The 19,777-nt window shown below is 46.9% G+C and overlaps 1 protein-coding gene across 5 annotated transcripts in view, besides 2 other annotated features; it reads right to left on the bottom strand.

Moving 5' to 3' along the window:
- Positions 1 to 15,906, bottom strand: part of TMED3 (transmembrane p24 trafficking protein 3) — a 102,775-nt gene extending 86,869 nt beyond the window's left edge. For 2 of the 5 annotated variants that reach the window (NM_001330376.2, NM_001301203.3), the window contains exons 1-2: positions 15,601 to 15,906; positions 13,013 to 13,261 (exon numbers count right to left, since the gene is read on the bottom strand). In NM_001330376.2, coding sequence (NP_001317305.1) covers positions 13,013 to 13,261; positions 15,601 to 15,768 — 417 coding nt within the window. In that variant the 5' untranslated portion in view covers positions 15,769 to 15,906. Of the gene's footprint in view, positions 1 to 4,177; positions 5,041 to 11,740; positions 12,478 to 13,012; positions 13,262 to 15,600 lie in introns of those variants that run through there. The other 3 variants (NR_125394.2, NM_007364.4, NM_001363735.2) reach the window with 3 other exon arrangements.
- Positions 15,733 to 15,802: a silencer, noted in NCBI's record as "silent region_6722". NCBI's record gives its function as "represses an Ori minimal core promoter by ATAC-STARR-seq in GM12878 lymphoblastoid cells {active_cell/tissue: GM12878}" and the evidence as "EXISTENCE:reporter gene assay evidence [ECO:0000049][PMID:35858748]".
- Positions 16,013 to 16,062: a silencer, noted in NCBI's record as "silent region_6721". NCBI's record gives its function as "represses an Ori minimal core promoter by ATAC-STARR-seq in GM12878 lymphoblastoid cells {active_cell/tissue: GM12878}" and the evidence as "EXISTENCE:reporter gene assay evidence [ECO:0000049][PMID:35858748]".

Raw genomic sequence — 19,777 nt, 5'->3', positions numbered from 1 at the left:
TCACCGCTCTCTCTTGCTACCTGTCTCACCCTGTGATCTCTGTACACTGGCTTCCCTTTGCCTTCTGCCATGAGTGGAAGCACCCTGAGGCCCTCACCAGATGCCCCCACCTGCAAAACAGTGAGCCAAATAAACCATTTTTTCTTTATAAGTTACTCAGACTTGGGTATTCCTTTATCGCAACACTAAGCAGACTAAAGAGGCCTTCCCTCAGGCCTCTTTTATAAGAGCACTAATCTCATTCAGGAGGGCTCCACCCACAGGACTCTGTCACTTCCCAAATGTCCCACCTCCTAATACCATCACCTTGTGGGGAAGAATTTCAACATATTAACTGGGGAGAAACAGAATATTCTGTCTATAGCACCTAGAATCTGCAACAAGTGATTGTTCCTTCCTTCTTCCCGCCCTCCTCCCTATTTTAAGTTGAGGAGAGTTTAAAGGAGGAAATATTTACAAAGGTTGGGCAGGGTTAAGGTAAAGCCCCAAGACTAGCAATAGCTAAAAGTTGTTCCCATCCCAGACATAAAGAGGCCAAGGGATGAGTCCTTATAGAACCAGAGAGAACATGGAACAGGTGGTCTTGCTATTAATTAAACTAGAAATCAGTGCCGCTCCCCAGGGGCTGTGACAGCTCAGGAGCCCCTTTTGAAGTTATAGGAAAAAATGGTTTTAATAAAATAAACTACGCATTTCTGGACACCCCTCCGGGCTATTTGATTCTAAGTTTCCTCTTTGAGCTATTTTTGCAACTTTGTGTTTTCTCCACATAGCATATCCTTTTGGATTACTGATTCTAGCCTGGTTCAGTGTCTTCGAGCTGTTTTACAACTCTGTATAAATGTGTCTGTTCTTTGAATTATCTTTTGAATCATTATGATGTTTGTCTGGTTCCTTCATTGATTAGTACATAAAATAAAACCTCTAACGTGCTATGATGGTTAATATGAGGTGTCAACTTGATTGGATTGAAAGATGCCTAGATAGCTAGTATTGTTTCTGGGTGTGTCTGTGAAGGTGCTGCTAGAGGAGATTAACATTTGACTCAATGGACTGGGAGAGGATGACCCACCTACCCTCAATGTGGGTGGGCACCATTCAATCGGCTGCCAGCAGCGCTAGAACAAAGCAAGTGGAAGAAGGTGGGATAAGATGGCTTGCTGAGTCTTCCGGCTTTCATCTTTCTCCCGTGCTGGATGTTTCCTGCCCTTGGACATCAGACTGCAGGTTCTTTGGCCTTTGGATTCTTGGACTTATACCAGTGGTCTGCTGGGGGCTCTTGGGCTTCTGGCCACAGACTGAAGGCTGCACTGTTGGCCTCCCTACATTTGAGGTTTTTGGACTCGGACTGAGCCTCTACTGGCTTCCTTGCTCCTCAGCTGGCAGAGGACCTATCGTGGGACTTCACCTTGTGATCGTGTGAGTCAATTCTCCTTAATAAACTCCCTTTCATATATACATATATCCTATTAGTTCTGTCCCTCTGGAGAACCCTAATACACGTGTTCATTTTATATAACACTTAATGATTTTATCCTTTTTTGGAAAATTATCTTTCAACAAAGAAAACATCACCTCCCCACTAAAGTCATCCTGTAGAGAATGCCCTGCAGTAAAGTTGTCTAGGCCTCGAGGATTAAAGCTTTCTTACCATACAAAGCCATTTTACTACCAGACAGTTGCATCGCAAGGGTTCAGAATCAGCACCACAAACCAACTCTTGGTCTTTGGAGCCAAGACCAGCTTGCCAGTGCAGATCCATAATTATTTTATGGGGGAATCTCATCGCAGAAGCTCTACTGTCTCTTAAAATCTATGGTATGGAGCAAGCCAACACCATTAGACCATTTCTGAAAATCTCTCATAATAATCCAGAACCTCAGTTAGAGTCAGAGGTCCTATGTCTTTTCCCTGGGAGATTCTGTTTCCTATGTGAGCTAGCAGATGTGCCTTCAAACTCCACCTGTCAGTTCCACCCAGGCCTCAAATTTAAAGGGATTTTACTGAAAACAGGGTGAATCCTAATTCTGTTTACCAATGCATAAGCCTGAAGTTCCTGGCCAGTAAAAATACTCCCTTCTGCTCATTTTACAGATGAGGAAATGAAGGTTCAGAGAGGTTCAGTACCTTACCCAAGATGGCACAAGTAGCACATAGCAGACCTGGATTCAAATCCAGAAAGGTCAGCCCCAACCCAGTCCTCTTTCTACTAAAATGCCAATGCTGACACCCTTTTCCACCATGCTGCCCAGATGTCAACGAGTCTCTCCAGAAAATCCAGATGCAAATAGCCTCTCCTATTTCTTTTGCTTAAATATCCCCTAAAAGAACTTGAGAAACTCTAAAGCCTCATACATTTTTAAAGCTGACATCTAAAATATTTCATCATGAATTTAAATAGTTACAAGGGAGATAATTTCTACCATATATTAAATATTACTTTTTAAAAAATTACATCACTATTTTAATTATATTCAGTGGATTCTAATTACTAAGACGATTTGATACCCATCATCATCCATAAATAAATGCTCAGAAATTTTCCATCTTTCCCCTTCCTTCTTAGAGTCATACTTCCATTTCATCTTTCTTATGGAACTGTATTACTCTGTTTGAAATTATATAGAGTACCCTATTGTATTTCTCTATAACAAAAAATCTTCAATTTCAAAATGTTTCATATGCTGTTTAACTGTAAAGCTTAAGTGTTAAAAATATTTCTTCTGGGGCCGGGTGCAGTGGCTCACGCCTGTAATCCCAGCACTTTGGGAGGCCGAGGCGGGCGGATCACGAGGTCAGGAGATCGAGACCATCCTGGCTAACACGGTGAAACCCCGTCTCTACTAAAAATACAAAAAAATTAGCCGGGCGTGGTGGCGGGTGCCTGTAGTCCCAGCTACTTGGGAGGCTGAAGCAGGAGAATGGTGTAAACCCAGGAGGGGGAGGTTGCTGTGAGCCGAGACTGCACCACTGCACTCCAGCCTGGGCGACAGAGTGAGACTCTGTCTCAAAAGAAAAAAAAATTTCTTCTGGATTGGGAAGTTATTTCAACTGTTATTAGTACCTAATTGATCAAAACATAAACACTGCATAAGCAGTACATTTTATTGCCAACATTATTTCCTAAATCAGCCAGTGGGGCAGGGTTTTTGCCCCCTCAATGAATCTACATATTTATGGATAAATGATTACAAGGTTATATAAATAAAACAGGTATCACCAGCAATCCTATTTTTTTTAAGGTTGAAAGAACCTAGTTTCCATAAAAAAGTGGAAGACAACGTGAGTTTTAGTAAAGCTGTGTCCTTCAATTCTTTAAACTCCTTTCTCAGTGCTTGATAAGCATTACATTCAGGCTGGTGGTTCCCTCAGAGGGTGAAGGAGAAGGGCAGGTAGAGAACATTCCAGAAGCAATGGGTCATGTTGCAGTGCTTAATCTAGGTAGCAGGAGCATAGGATTTTTGTATTGTTTTTCACTTTAGACATATTTCACCTTAGACATATTTCATAAGTAACCTTTTATATATACCCAGTACTTAATTCTAAAATAAGAGAAAAGAAATAGCAAAAACATATGAAAGATAAGCAACATTTATCCTTCAATCAAGCTAAATAAGTGAGGCTTATGGGGTATCCTTTTAAAGAGATTATTTTGCTTCCTTTCCTACAATGCATTAACGCCTGTCAGACGGTGCAGGATTTCAGATTTGATAGGTTTCCTTCAGCGGAGACACTGTATCTTCCCTCCAGACCTACTGCACAGACATCTGATTGGTATGCATTCATTTCTTACTAATGGGCAAGGAGGACTAAGGGCAAGTGAGACAGTACCATCTTGAAGAGTGGTTGGGAGGGACTTCACTGATAATGTGCCTTTGGGTCAGAAGGAAATGATGGAGCAGGGCATGCAGATATCCGGGAGAAGGTATTATCAGAGGAAACAGCATTTGCAAAGTTCCGTTGTACAACATGGTGTGAGCATGCGAGGAGACTTCCTATTTTGTTTTCAGTCACCTGGGAGGAGTCATTTCTTGCCCACTCTATACATCTCTGCACAGCACCCCATGCACCTCTCTAGGTACTCTATGTCACATTCTAATTATTTATGCACACACCCATGCTCTGCAGTAAGCTCTGGAGTCCTTTAGGGCAAAGAAATAAAGGCACAAGTCTCCAGGACGCTCACACTTAGTTTTTATTAGCCACAGTTTCCCACAGTTTTCTACCTCCTAGGAAATACACAGCTCACCAAGGGCACCCAGTCACCATTCTGTCCTGCTTGCATGGCTGACACTGTTGCTCACCGAGGGTGAGCAGATCTGCAAAGTCACCCAGGGCCTGGTTTCCTCAGGTACAGAGAACCCCAAAGAAAGAAGAGCCAGAACTTAGAGCCCCTTTCTTCTCCATATGGGATAGGACACCCAAGACAAATGACCCATGCATCATGAAACAGAGGCAGGGCCCTAAGCTGCCCAAGAGGCCTGGGCACTTGGAGTTCCTGCCAACAGCCAGGCCACTGAACCATTGCCTGTCCACCCTCCCACAGTGGCTAATCCCTGGCCTAGTTGTAAATGTCTTTTCAGCGCTGCACACTTAATGCAGTCGGATGCCTTCTGATTACTGGTCTCTGAGACCTTCAGCTGCTGAGGTGCAAGAATCAAGCATGGGCATGAAAGGCAAAGGGCTACCACAGCAGCATCGTTCTGCCTCCACCCTGGGCTACGCGACCCAGCCCAGCAGGCTGTGACCTAGGAGAGCTGCTCCAGCCTGGGGCATGAGGGGCCCTAGAGCAGGATGCCGGGGCTAGGAGTGGACTGCCCTGCTGATGGGTCGTTTTTCTGTGAAGAAGCTTTTCAACAGTAGCACCTGACTGAAGCTGACCACGAACAGGGCAATCGTCTCGCCAACAGACCAGTAAGAGACTCGGCTATTAAGGTCTTCTGCTCGGGCCCGGTCCTGGGCCTCCCGCAGCCGGTAATGCGTCTGGGAGTCAATCACCGTTTTCAGAGCCTCATGGATGGTCACGCAGGCGGACTCCATCTGGGCAGGAAGAGAAAAGCAGTCACACTGCTAACCCATAGACAAATGTGGGATCCAGCAAACAGCAAATGCTGTTGTCAACATCCTAGGTGATATCCACTGAATGCTAACTAAGAGTCTGTGCTAAGGGTTTTACGTGGTTTTATTTAATCCTCACAACAAGCCTAATTGAAGCTCAGAGAGGTTAAGTAACTTGCCCAGAGTCACACAGTTAGTATGTGGCTGAGTTAGAGTCTGAGTCCTGAGCCTATGCTTTCAAGCACTGCCCTATACTCTCTTATTCAATCCTTACAATACTCCTGATAGGCACGGATCATTACCCTCACTGTTAACGAGGGCTTATCCCACACACAGATGAGGAAACTGAGGCTCCAAGAGGCTACACGAATTGCCCAAAGTCATACAACTAATAAACAGCAAAGTGTGAACTAGACCACAGTTGTGTTTGGACTCTGAATCCACTGCTCATGCTCATTCTATTATGTAATTGCTGCCTATAGTTTTATGTATAAACACAAACACATGAAGACACACGCTTCATGTATGTAAGCACATGCACACACATGCAAAGACACATATATATAAACAGGCACTACATAGACACATACGCTCATGTGTAACACATACTACATCATAACTTTCTTTACCTGCAAAAATATTCAGTGTGGTAGGCAGAAGTCTGAAAATGTCCTTCCCACCACCACCAAGGTCCCCCGCCCTAATTCCAGAAAGCTGTGAATATGATGAGCTGTCACCTCTGTGACTGCATCACGTTAATATGACACAGCTGACCTGAAGATGGGGAGGTTATTCAGGCCTGATCCCATCACAGGAGCCCTCAGACGCCAGGAGCTTTCTCCAGCTAGTTGCAGAAGAAGTCAAGACAGTTCTGAAGCATGAGAAAAATTCAATGTGCCACACTGGCTTTGAAGGTGGAGGTGACCACTTGCCAGGACCAGAAAAAGGCCTCCAGGCGTTGAGGGTACAACAGTCAGCAAGGAAATGGGGACCTCAGTCCTACAACCACAAAGAACTGAACTCCACCAACAACCTGAATGAGCATGAAAGCAGATCCTTCCCCAGAGCTTCCAGGTAGGAGCCCAACCTGCCACCACCTCGACATCAGGCTTGGGAGACCCCAAAGAATCTGGCCAACCTGCCCAGGCTCACAGCATACAGAGCTGTGCGGTAATAAGTGAGTATTGCATTAAGACACTATGTTTGTAGTAATTAGTTACTCAGCAATAGACAACACATTATGCCTGTGGGAAAACGTTGAGTTCTTATTCAGAGGCAGCCTCTAAACCACCATGTATCCAAGACCTAGAAAATTCTATCCTATCAGTGAGTTCTCAGGCTAGAGGAATTCACAAAGCATGCACCAGACACTCACTTCAGTTCCCAAACTCCAAAGGCAAACTATTTGTAAAGTACAGTACAATAAACTAGAAAAGACCAAGTCACTCTGTGACCTCCCTTCCTGTGGGCGGCAAGCCACCCAGGTGCCGAGGCAAGAGACCGAGGGCACGAGCTGTTCCAGTATAATAAAATATATAAAATAAGAATAGTGATACTAGATATAGATCATAGATAGGATTATATATGAATATCATTAATCATTAGTTTGTGGCAATTACTCTTTATTCCAATATTATAATAATCCTTGCTCTACAATCATAACCTAGGAAAAACCAGGCCACACAGAGATAGGAGCTGAGGGGACATAGTGAGAAGTGACCAGAAGACAAGAGTGCGAGCCTTCTGTTATGCCTGGACAGGGCCGCCAGAGGGCTCCTTGGTCTAGCGGTAATGCCAGTGTCTGGGAAGACGCCCATTGCCAAGTGGACTGTGGTCTAGCGGTAGCGTCAGTGTCAAGGAAAAACACCCGCTACTTAGCAGACTGGGAAAGGGGGACTCCCTTTTCCCAGTGGAGTTCAGAGAAGACTCTACTCCTCCACCTCTTGTGGAGGGCCTGACATCAGTCAGGCCCACCCGCAGTTATCCGGGGACCTAACTGTCTCCCTGTGATGCTGTGCTTCAGTGGTCACACTCCTAGTCTTCTTTCATGTTCCATCCTGTGTACCTGGGCTTTTAGATAGCAGTAGCAAATTAGTGAAAGTACTAAAAGTCTCTGATATGCAGAAATAATGGCATAAGCTGTCTCTCTCTCTTCTCTCTCTCTCTCTGCCTTGGCTGCCAGGCAGGGAAGGGCCCCCTGTCCAGTGGACACGTGACCTTACCAATCATTGGAGATGGCTCACACTCCTTAGCCTGCCCCTTTGTCTTGTATCCAATAAGTATCAGCGCAGCCTGGCATTCGGGGCCACTACCAGTCTCTGCGTCTTGGTGGTAGTGGTCCCCTGGGCCCAGCTGTCTTCTTTTTAATCTCTTTGTCTTATGTCTTTATTTCTACAATCTCTCGTCTCCACACATAGGGAGAAAACCCATCCACCCTGTGGGGCTGGACCCTACACCTCCCCAAAACCCTTGTTTCTCTCTCACATTAAACCACTTCCAGAAGACAAACAGGAAACCACTGCCAAACAATGGTGTTACCCTTACTTGCCTCATTGGGTATCCTTAATTCTGGGCCATTCTAGGAGCTGAACTAGACTATGTAAGGAAGAACAAAAGCTTCCCTTCTGCCTCTGCATTACAGGGCAGCAGCTTCCCTCTTTCTGGCAACAGGTCTACCTCCCAAGGCTATGGGACTCTCCTGCACACAGTGGCTGGCCCTCTCATCCAGGTCCATGTGTAAGAAGTGGTGAAATGTCACACGTAGAAAGGTGGCATGATCACTGTGTATCAGATGGAACTGATAGAGTTAGACTGGGTACACCAGCTCAAGGAGCAATAGCAAGTGAAGAACAAGCCTATTTGTCCCCCATGAGTACCTCTGTCCTGTTTTCTCAGTGACATCCTCTATCCTCTATTATTTTGGGCTACATATCATCTTTCACAACTGGAGTGTAGTCAGCATTGGACTTCTTCACTTCCCTGCATTTGGTAGGTGGGCTATACCTGCAGACATTTGATATTGAAAAAGGAACAAATGATCCTAAGAAGGGTTCCAGACATCAGGAAGTTGACTCCAAAGGGAACTTCCAAAGCCAACTGGCTTCAAAGGCCAACCACCAGAAAAGAAAGCTCAGGTGTAGGCCTCTGCACTGGGGACAATGGTCGCATTTGTGGTTGCTCCTCCTAGCTCTCCGGGGAATGCTTCCAAAGCTCACTAAAGCATGTCAGCTGTCACAGATGGAACAGGACACTAAACTGGGAAGGAAGCAGGAAAGAGGTCAATGTGGAGTCGGGCTTAACCTATGTGAACCTGTGTCAAAGCTAACTCAAGATATGCCATTTCTAGAAGCCTCCCTAGTGCTCCCTGCCAGGCACTACCTATACAGGCAGACTTGGTAACACAAATCCGTTCTGTATTTACATCACCCTGGTGATCCCTGGAAAATCACAAAGGATTGAAGGTGGGGCTGGGGGACTCAGGATAGACACTTGTAGGATGAGGTTACAAGGATTTCAAATCATGGCTGAGTTTGAATAGCTCACACTTCCACTAATTCCTTCATTCAAACATTTACTCAATGCTTACTTTCCTTCCAGGCACTGTGCTAGGCCCAGGGAATTAAGAATCAGAGCCAGACACAGTCCTGGGTCTCAGAAAGTTCCCAATTTAAAGAAAAAATTACTCAACTAGAATGCAGTATAAACAGCCAACAACAGAAGGGTATGCAGAGCGGCAGGAACACCCCAGGAGAAAGATGCTGAGCCTGCCAGAGAAGATGGAGTACTTGACATGGGACACGACAAGCTGAGCCCTGATGGATGGGCAGGACGTCACCAGGCTGAGAACACATCCCAAGCAGCAGAAGCACAGGCAAAGAACTGTACAGGGCCTGGTCTGGGATCAGGGACTGACATGGTGATGGGGATGCGTGGAGAAGCAGCTGTGGGGAGGTGGAAGCTCACAGTAAAGGGCCTCGAGGTCCAAGACTTTATCGTGTGGCTCTGTGAGCAGAAGATTGGCAAGATCGGAATCCCACTTTACGAGAATCTGCCTCTGGCAGCTATGATGCAGAAAGGGATGTATGCGAACCAGTTTAGAGGCAGGGAAACCACTTAGGTGGCTGCAATTCTACTGGGAAGAGAAGATGCAGGCCTCGGTTAAGAAGGTCGCCATGTCAGGGAAGAGTGGACTGGAGGGAAATTGATGGCACTGAAATCACAGGACTTCATAACAAAGTGGATCATTCTTGAAATCAGTGGGAGGGATGGAGACACACACATAAGTGTATACATGTATGTATCATGGTCATAGGTAGTATATGTGTATATGTATGTGTGGCACACACACATATGTATTCATATGTACACATATGCATACATGTTTGTATGTACAAATCCGCAGAGAACACTGTGGAAGGGCTCATTTGATTTTCCAGGCTATAATTCCATTCTCCAAGTTTATGTGTCACAAACTCATTCAGAAACAAAGTGTACAACTAGACTCACTTGACTGGGGACTCCTTGGACCGTAGGCCCTGGCCTGGGAATTCAGCAGTACTGGTCAGCATCTCCAGCCTTCTCCCAGGACCCAGAGTCACTGGAGAGGAAGGAGGAAGGGAAAAAGAAGAGGGAGGACACAGAAATCACAGGTGTAGACACCAAGACAGAGGATGAGTCAGATATTTATGTGAAGCATCACTTTAAAGGCCTAGATCCAGCGACACAGGCCAGAAACCGGCACGGAGACTGCATGAAGAGGCCTCGTGGCCTTTAAAGGAACAATCTCAGATCAGATCAGTGATAGCAAAGGGACCAGTTCCAAGAGGGTAACGGAGCAACAGGTGATACTCTACAGCTTTCTTGGCAACTAACACCTGCAGACGCCTTCAGGACCTTGCACAGACGCTGCAAGAGACCCCAGAGCAATACATCCCCGAGAATCATCCCCAAGAATCACAGCTACCTGGATGCTCACCCTCACCACAAAAACATGCTACTTCCCCATCCGCTGAGATCTTCAGTTAGTGCTCATCTAAAGCAAACTTGTTCAGCCTGTTACCACAAAATTTCAGTTAGGCAGTCCCTCAGCCAGCTTCCCACCCAGCAGAAAACCAACAGAACCCCTCTGTTTTCAGGGTCCTGTTTTTCCAGGCCACGAGTCCCCAGGTCTCCTCGTGTGTGACCTTCCGCCCTGCTAAGACCACCAGTCCTGGCTGGCTTCCAGTGTCCTGGAGCCTCACAGGGATTATAGTTGCCACTTCATGGTGACTGTCGGTCTCTAGGACACCCTGACCCATCCCACCTCTGGCACCATCCCTTTCCTCCATCTCCACGCTGACATCCCATCCTGTCCCAGCCACCAGCGGATGCCGAGGTCTTCAGTCTGTAACCACTGACAAATTCCTGCAGCCCTCACCTCATCAGGCCTCCCCTGACCCAAGTATCTGCTTCTTCAAATTCTTCAAGAACTCAAAGACAGGGAAGTAGAAGCTGGCATCAGAGCACTTAAGAAAACCTTTAATCCTTCCTAGATCACCAGGGAGGTAGCTCTTGGCCTTTGACCTCTGTCAGAAACCTTCAGCTCTGACCAGGATCTTCCCAGATTCTCAGGAAGCCTGGAAGCCCCTCGAGCTTGGCTTTCCTGAAGTCGCATTCTCCTGGCCCAGGTCCTCTCCTAGGAGCCTGGTTTTCCTGAACTCCGGCCTGAAACAAGTCCTTTGGACCTGAATCCCTGGCCTGGGCCCTGGTCACTATGGAACCTGTTCTTTCACCTAATACTTACTTTCTTGCCAGAAACCATGGCCTCTGGCTCACCACTGTGCTGCAAGAAGTCTGGGGAGAGGCGAGACAGCAGCTGCTGGGTAAAGGGGGACCCATGCCAAGCAAGATAAAAAGCGCTGGCGAGAAGAATGAAAGTTACACTCCATAAATCTCACCTGTTCTCTTCACCTAGAAGGCCAAGCTTCTACATTTTCAAGTGAAGCCTTCCTGACTCCTGGAAGAATTCATCAGTGCCTCCTCAAGACTCCTGGCGCTTCAATTACAGCTCTGACCACAGTGCCCCATAGCCAACTGGCTTGCAGGGCTGCGCTCCTTGCAGGGTGCCCAGTACCAGGCACAGAGCCATCCACGGCTGGCACAATGTGTAGACTGAGTGAATTCTGGCATAAAAGCAAGTACTCTCAAAGGCAGGCACAGATGGTTCAAGGTGGCGGGGTAAGAGAAGTGGAAGGAAACGGCTCTTTTGAGGCTAAGCAGGAGCAAAGAAGAGGTTCTAAGATATAAGAAAAGGGAAGCATAAATCACTCTTTCCTGCAACAAAATCAAACTACTGCTCAGGCTCCAGGAAAGAATGTCTCTGTTGACCTAATTCTTTAAGGCTTTTCCTACCAATTTGTTTTCTACTGGTTAAGGGGGAAGTTCTTCAGCTCAGCTTTTGGAGACTTACAGAATCTTCCCAATAGAGGCTGTCTCAACAGTGGCCAACAGAACTCTCATGAGTATCGGTTGCAAAAGATCTTACACACAATACACACCCTCGGCTGGATCTTCTAACAGAAGTCATGTTGCCAAAAGCCCAAAGATCAAACCCAGTTTTGGACAATGGAACTTTCTATGCATGGCCACTAGCCACCTGTGACTATTGAGTACCTGGAGTATTGCTATGGTGCAGATGAGGAAGTGAATTTTTAATTTAATTTTAATTAATTTAAATAGCCAAATTTAGACACTGGCTACTGTACTGAACAGTGCAGCTCTAGCCTCCAACTGCTTAGGGAAGGTGGAAGACTGGGCAAATGAATCCACAGGCACTCGTGAGTGTGCCCAGAGCCACAGAGGAAGGATGCCACCTTGGAAGGCGGCCCAGAAGATCATCTGGCCTCCTTGAAAGTTCAAGACGCTGTGGCTTTGGTTCTGGCACACGTGCTGCTATCGATGGTTATTCCTGTCTTACAGGTTTCCCTGGGCCCTGACAGTCATTTCACAAGTATTTGGTGAGCTCCTTCCTGTGCCCTACCTTATGCACTGAAGCACTGAGGATACAAAAGTAAATCATTCAGGGTCCTAGCCCTCAGGAAGCCCCCAGCCTGCATATGAAAGGGAAGGAGGGGCTTAAATAGCAGAAGGGAAGACAGACGAAGGAGGATGGGATCAGAGAATAATGAACCTTGACAGCCATGGGCGACAGACATGACTATCCCCCCAAAATGTCACCGTTTCTCCTCCATAGTGTGGAGCTGTTGCTAAGGCTCTACTTGCCAGCCTTCCTTTCATCCAGCTTTGCCACATGACTAAGTTCTCACCCATGGGACATGAGCAGGTGATACGTATTCCCACTGGGCCTGGGCTTTTAAGAAGTAGATGGGCTTTTCTCATTCTCTCTTCCTTTGGCAGCTACAGGCAGAAGACCCTGAAGCCCTAAGGGAAGACAGAAAGATGACAAGAAAGAATGAGCCTGGATTCCTGAGTCACACCATGGAGGAAAGCTCCCCACCAACCTTTTCTAGATTATGCATGAGAATAAACTTCTATTCTGTTAAGCCATTGATGTTTGGTGTTTATTTTGTTACAGCACCTTGTGTTACCTTAACTAATACACCACACAAAGTAGGACTTTGGTCTTTATGATACAGGCACATCATATAAGCAGAGACACATGACACAGGTACTTCGAAAGTGGTACTGTGCAAAAGACTGAGTGGGAATGAAAGAGTAGAGACAGGAATGTCAGAGGAAAGTACTGCAGGGACCTGGTTAGAGAGTGGAAAGGAAGATCGAAAGAAGAGCATGGCATCCTTTAGGACTAGGTATGAAGAAAGAGACAAAACCAACCCTGAGACTTCCAGACTGGGAGCTGGATGGATGATGACTCCCACCACCAGCCTAGACAGAGGCCAATGAAGAGGAACACGCTAGGGGGTTCAGCAGCCCCGAACTGCTAATGTTCACTCACCTGGGTGAGAGCTGTGACCCTGTTCCCCATGTCTGGGAGAATGGGAGGCTCATCGCCCACTTGAAAGTCAAAGTAGACGGTCTTGTGAGAGAAGGTGGAAAACTCATTACTGAAGCAAAACTGATAAACGCCCTTGACTTCAGCCCGGTACGTGAAGCTGTCGTACTGCTTCTTCGTTTCTCTGTAGATGGTGTTCCCCTGGGGGTCCTCTACATAGCAGTCAACATCGTAGTGGCCTCCAGTGATGACCTGACAACCATAAAAAAATTGCTGTTATCAAAGGAGCAACCACCACTTACCAAATGCCAACCAGACACTGTGATCAGACTCTACAAACATTTCTGTCACTTCATCTTCAAAACTTTCTAAGGCAGGTGCTACGCCACTTCTCATTTTACTAAGGCTGAGCAAGGTTAAATAAATTGGCTGTGGTCACACTGCTTGAAAGTGAAAGGGCTAAGATTTGAATCTATGCCTGCCTGACTCCCAAGTTTGCTCTGCAGGGTTTCAATGAGCCTAATCCTTTCCATTTTACAGAAGAAGAAACTGAGGTTCCAAGGTTAAGTAAATTCCCTAAGGTTACACAAGAGAAAGTGGTGAGATGAGATCTGCCTTGAGAGCTTTTGGTTCCAGTGCCTAAACATTTACCTATTGCACTATTCTGAAGCATGAATGAACATACCCCAGGATAACTGCTCTTCCTGAGATGGTGCTGATAAAGCTTCCCGAAATCAAGAGCAAGATGAGGAGGGATGTCCAAGAAACTATTCCAATGCAACTAGATGCCACCGATTCTTTATCTTTGTTCAATACTTAACACAAGACACACAGCAAATCACTGATTTAGGGCACTGCCACTCATTAGCCATGTGACCCTAGACAAGTTACTTTATTCTCTGAGGATATGTCTTTATCCATGAAGTGAGGAGTCAATAAGTTATCACACCTAAAGTGTTTAGCACGGTGTCCAACATAAATTTAGCAAGGGCCCCAAAAGTGCCAGCCAATTACTGGACAATCGTCAGACTGCAAACTAACCCCCTGGGGTTGCAGTGGAGATGTGGGATCTGATTTGGGGGCCACCCTAGAGCATGCATGCTGCACCTCCTGCTTCTCCGTTCCAATAACAGACAGGTGTTCCCCCTCCCCCCACCAGCAAGGGTCATTCTTGGCTTGCTGAATGGGTCAAGTAGCTATTAACAATATATTATTAATGACTGAATGCAAGGAGAAGAAAAATATTGATCGAAGTATTCATGGAATTTCTGAGTGTCAGCGGTGGAAGAGTCTTTGGGAATCATTTAGTTCAAACTCTCCTTGTAACATAAGAAAAATAAGACCCACATAAAGCAAAATCTCACAGGTAGGCAATGGCTATAACCAAGATCCATCAAAGGACACGGTCAATGGCCTCCATCTGCTTCCAAATTTAAATGGCCTCTTTGTCCGGACAAAAGTTACTAGTCCTGCTCAGCAAGCTTTGCAAAAAGCAGTGAGTATCCTGTTGCTAAGTGTGTTTAAACCCAGGCTGGACACACTTTGACAAGGGATTTCCGCCCTGGCAGTGACCAGATGACATCTGAGGTCCCTGCAACCACAGAATTATCATTCTTTTTGTCATTGCACCTAGGTTGCCCATGTTAACCCAGTCACAATTTGCATGTTGTCCACAAAGACCTGAAAGTGGACAAATCAGTGACTGAGACTACCACATAGAAGTTGTCTCCAAGCGCAAGCTTCCTTCAGTGCCTCTAACCACAGAGGAACTGGTCAAATAGCTTGCCCCCATTCCTGCTGCCCGTGGCCCCTCATTTCTGAAGTGCCTATCAGCATGCGTCCACAAGCAGATAGCTGTCTGAGTATGATGCCCACTTGGCCCCCAACCCTAGACCTGCTCACTAAATATCGGGGCAGACTACTCACTCAAGACCTGCTCCTGTCACCTGTGGGCCACGGGATCTCTCAAAGGAGACAGGAATACAGGAACTGAGCTTTTCTAAGCCATATGGCAAGAGCCAAGTCTTGCAGCCACACCGCTCCTTGTAAACACCGCCAGGCCTCAATGGCTGCACTGATCCCTCCTTTCCAAAGTGCCCATTCTCACTTCTGCTGCCCTCACCTCACTCCAACTTTAAACGCTGGAGAGGGGAGGAATAAACTAAAACTATGAGCCCACTTCCTCTTGCTGCCATTTTTCAGTACTCGAAGGCACAAGGTGGTCTAAGAGACTGGGGTTAGAGAGCCTGTGTCCAGCCGATCAGAACTGCCGTTGGTTAGTGTCTCGGGGGCCTGCGGATATCTCTTTGGCCAGCTCCCCAGGCTGCGGGATCCGCCCTGGCGTCCCCATCCCGGGCTCGCACCTGCGGCGCTGACTACCTCCTCGCTGGCCAGGCTCGTCTCGGGTGGGCCCTGATGACCCAAACCTTCCTCCTCACGGGGAAGTCAACTGGTCTCCGGGGACTCCCACCCCATGCAGCCTCCCTGTAGCCTGTGGCTAATTCGAGCGCCTCCAGTCAGGGGCTAGCCAGTGTCCAGGTGAGACCTGGGAGTGGAGGGAGAAGGGAGCGCTGCCGGGCGCCCGGCCTCACCTGGTAATCCAGGGAGAACTTCACGCCCTGCTCCACCTCCTCGTGGAAGCACTGCTTGGCGTTGTCCGGCAGCTCGAAGGTGAGCTCGGCCCCGCAGGGCTGCTCGGCCCGGCGCAGGAGCAGCAGCAGAAGCAGCACGGAGGCGGAGCGCGGGACAGTGCTGCCCATGATGCTCTCGGTCCCGTCTCGAGGGCCGCGGCTCGGGCGCTGCGCCCCCGGCGGGCTGGGGCGACGACTACCGACCGGGTCCTAGGAGGATGTAAGGGGATAGACGTGGCACCAGCGGAGCTCTGCGCTTCCGGGAGGGCCGGCGGCTCAGTGCGCAGCCGCGCGCTCAAAGTGGGCCCGGGCACCTTCCGCCCGCTGCGCGTGCGCGCTGGCCGCGCTGCGCCAGGGGACACGCCCCCCCCACCCCCCCGCAACGCCTCTCCCGGCTCGGAGGGTGGGTCTCCGCGGAGGGGAGGTGGGGCTCCACCTAGCGCGCCCCTACCCAGAAGAGGGAGAAGCCCTCCCCGCTGTTCTGCGCGCTCCCGGACCCGCAGGGCTGAGCATCCCCCCAGGTCGACCCAGGTCCACCCTCCAGCTGCTGCAGCACGAAGCACGTGGGATTTTACTCCCTCTATAAGGCTCCGCTTTTGACAGGCTCTGTAACTTCAGTCTCACACTTCCCTCGAGAACCAGTCTCCTTGTCTTGAAATGGGTGTGCCCAAACCTAACATCCACAGTAGTTAGGGAGCTAGGTGAAAGATAAGGGAACGCTGGGAACCCGATTAACACTCCTTTCTTCATTCCCATACCCTTCCCAAGGTGAAAGAGTGTGCGAAGGGGGTGGGGAGTGGGGAGAGTAAGTAAAGACCCATCATTACACCTGCTCTGGGAAAAACACGAGCGTGCTCACACACAAACGATCTCATGAAAATCCAAGTAAAGTCTCGCAGCGACTTCAGGTATATTTTGGCTGTCAGGCTCGTTGAAAATTCTTTTTGCACAAAACTGTCATTTTTGCACTTTGACTTCTTAAAAGCTCTGAAAGCAGATAAATTGGTTTACTGTCTTACCCATGACCACTGACTTAAGATTCTTTTGTATAATCGTAACTATAGGTATAGTTTTATATTCACTGTGATCCAATAAACAAAGAGAAAAGACGTAGATTGTGATGTCGATACTCAATAAATAACTTATTCAGGAGAGCATTACTAGACGTGGTATATCTTGACTTCAGGAAAGAATGTTACTGCCCATATAGATTTCCGCTGGCCACATTCACTATGGATGAACACGCTAATGTGTGAAAGCAATCTGTAGGCTTGGAAATAACATGCATGCATAACATAGTTAATAATATTGACTGGCTCAGTGACAGGCATGGAAGAGGTGTTTAGTAGTGTCCCTTAAGCTTCCTTCCCTGGCACGGTCCTATTTCACGTTTTTTTTTTTTTTAGGAACTGATAGAAAACATGGAAGTAATAATCATCTGATCTAGATGAACTAAGTGGAGAAATAAATGACAGATATAAAACCACAATTGGCCGGGAGTGGTGGCTCACGCCTGTAATCCCAGCACTTTGGGAGGCTGAGGCGGGTGGATCACGAGGTCAAGAGATCGAGATCATCCTGGCCAATGTGGTGAAACCCCTTCTCGACTAAAAATACAAAAATTAGCTGGGGGTGGTGGTGCGTGCCTGTAGTCCCAGCTACTCGGGAGGCTGAGGCAGGGAGGCAGGGGTATTGCTTGAACCTGGGAGGTGGAGTTTGCAACCTGGCGACAGAGCAAGACTGCGTCTCAAAAAAACAAAACAAACAAACAAAAAAAAAACACGATTGCCCTGGCACAGGTGGAGTGCTCTGCTAAGACTAACAAAAAGAAATTTCGGGCTGGGCACCATAGCTCATGCCTGTATCCCAGTATTTGGGGAGGCTGAGGCAGGAGGATTGTTTGAAGCCAGGAGTTCGAATCTAGCCTGGGCAACATAGTGAAACCTCGTTTCTACAAAAACAAACAAACAAAAATTAACCAGGCATGGTGGTGTGGGTCTGTAGTCCCAGCTACTTGGGATGCTGAGGTGGGAGGATTGCTTGACACCAGGTGTCTGAGGCTACAGTGAACTGTGATTGCACTACTGCACTCCAGCATGGATGACAAAGGGAGACCCCATCTCTAAAAATCAAAATAAATTCCTCCGGATTAAATGTTAAGTCTTACATTTAAGTTCCAAGAAAACACCTGCATAAGTTCAGGGGAGGAGCTGACATTGAAGAAGCTCTAGTCAGAGCATGCAGGCTGTTGGCTGGGACACCTCGGTTCTCCTCCAAGCATCCTCTTACATCTAATAGGCTAGATTACTTCCTTATATGGCAGGTTCAGGGCAGCATCCCAAGAGGAACTAGGCAGAAGGAGCAAGGCCCCTGAGACCTAAGCTTCAGACCTTTTCCAGTATGACTTTCTCCACATTCTGTTGACCAAAGCAAGTTCAAAGGCCAGCCCAGATTCAAGGAGGTGGAAAAATGGAATCTACCTCTGGATTTGAGGAGTTGCAAAGTCACATTGCAAAGGAGGGTCATACTGGGATGGAAGGAATTATGGCTGTTAAGCCATCTTCTATAGTATCCAGACTCACTCAGCTTGTCAATGGCTAAGCCAGAAAGTGAACCCAGATCTGCTTAATTCTGAAGACTACCAGCTTCCCACTAAACACACTGCCTCTACCCATACCTCAGGGAACACTTGTCCTACATGTTCCATAGGGCAAACCTTGGACCAAAGCATGAATCTGACACTGAGGCACATTTCAGCTCACACAATAAATGATTTTCTGGAACCAGAGATTTCCAAAAATAGAATGGACAAGGATAGTACATTTTTCATACCCGAAAATATTCGAACAGATGCAGGTGAACAACCAACCACTTAGCAACAACAGAGATGATTCATGAGCCTGGGTGACAGATAATAGTGGTGTATGACCTCTACGGTTCCTTCCAACCTTGATATTGCATGATATATGGCAAATATTGCGTGATATATGGTACTAAAGGTAGGATAACTTGAAAGAAAAACCAAAAATGTTTTCTATCCACTTTAGTCCTGGGGTGACTTCTGTAAAGTCCTTTTAAAACAGTAAATAAAAGAAACACACACATAAAAATAGTAAATAATAAATATTAAAACAGTAAATAAAAATGAGGATCTTAACAGATGCAGGAAAAAAAGCATGTGACAAATTCAACATCCATTCATGATAAAAACTCTTAGCAAAACAGAAATAATAGACAACTTCCTTAATGTCATAAAATGTAACAAATTTAGAGCAGACATCATGATTAATGATAAACATGTCTTTTCCTTCAAATTTGGGAATAAGACATAAATGCCTGCTATCACAACTGCTATTTAACATTGTCCCAGAAATTCTAGCAGGAAAGGTTAGGCAAGAAAAAGAAATAAAAGGACAAGAATTGGATATATAAACATCCAAATAGTGCTTATATCTAAGGGGAAGGAAAATGCAGAAGTCCAGAAGGGGCACCCAAGAGAGACTCATGAATGTTCACATTCTGACTTTCATTAACTGAACACTTAGGTTTTACTTCTCTAAGTATGTACAGATGCTCCTCGGCTTACAATGGGGTTATGTCTGAATAAACCTATCATGAATTGAAAACATCGTAAGTTACGTGTGTTATGATGAGATGGGCAGTATAAGGTGGACCCATCTGTGCCCTAAAGCAGAACTTTATCATTGCTTCATGCAACAGGAGCACTCCCTAGCATGCTATTAGTATGTTGAAACAAAATCAAAGTTTATCCATGCCTCATGCAGGTAATTGATGGTGAAGGAAAAAAGCAACACAATCGCTGTGTGGATTGACTAAAGCAAATGGAAACTTTGCAAACCGCTTAACGTTGCCATGGAGCTATAACCAATACCAGCTTTTCCCTGAACAAACCAGTCAGAGACAGGTGACACACACTGCCCTCCTGAGACTCACAAACTTCCCCAGAACAACTGTTTCTGTGGCTGTCAAGCATTTAACTATCCTTCCTATGGGTAAATCCCAAACTAGGTGAGAAACCAGCCTCCCTCTCATCACAGAGCAAAAGAGGGGCAGATAGTCCCTCTCCCTCTGCTCCCGGGTCCCAAGGTATGTGGGCATGGGATCCAGGCTCTGCCAA

The sequence above is a fragment of the Homo sapiens genome, chromosome 15 (genome assembly GCF_000001405.40).
Source record: "Homo sapiens chromosome 15, GRCh38.p14 Primary Assembly".
Taxonomy (NCBI): domain Eukaryota; kingdom Metazoa; phylum Chordata; class Mammalia; order Primates; family Hominidae; genus Homo; species Homo sapiens.
Note: the sequence above shows the minus strand (reverse complement) of the source record. Positions and strands in the feature narration are given on the sequence as shown.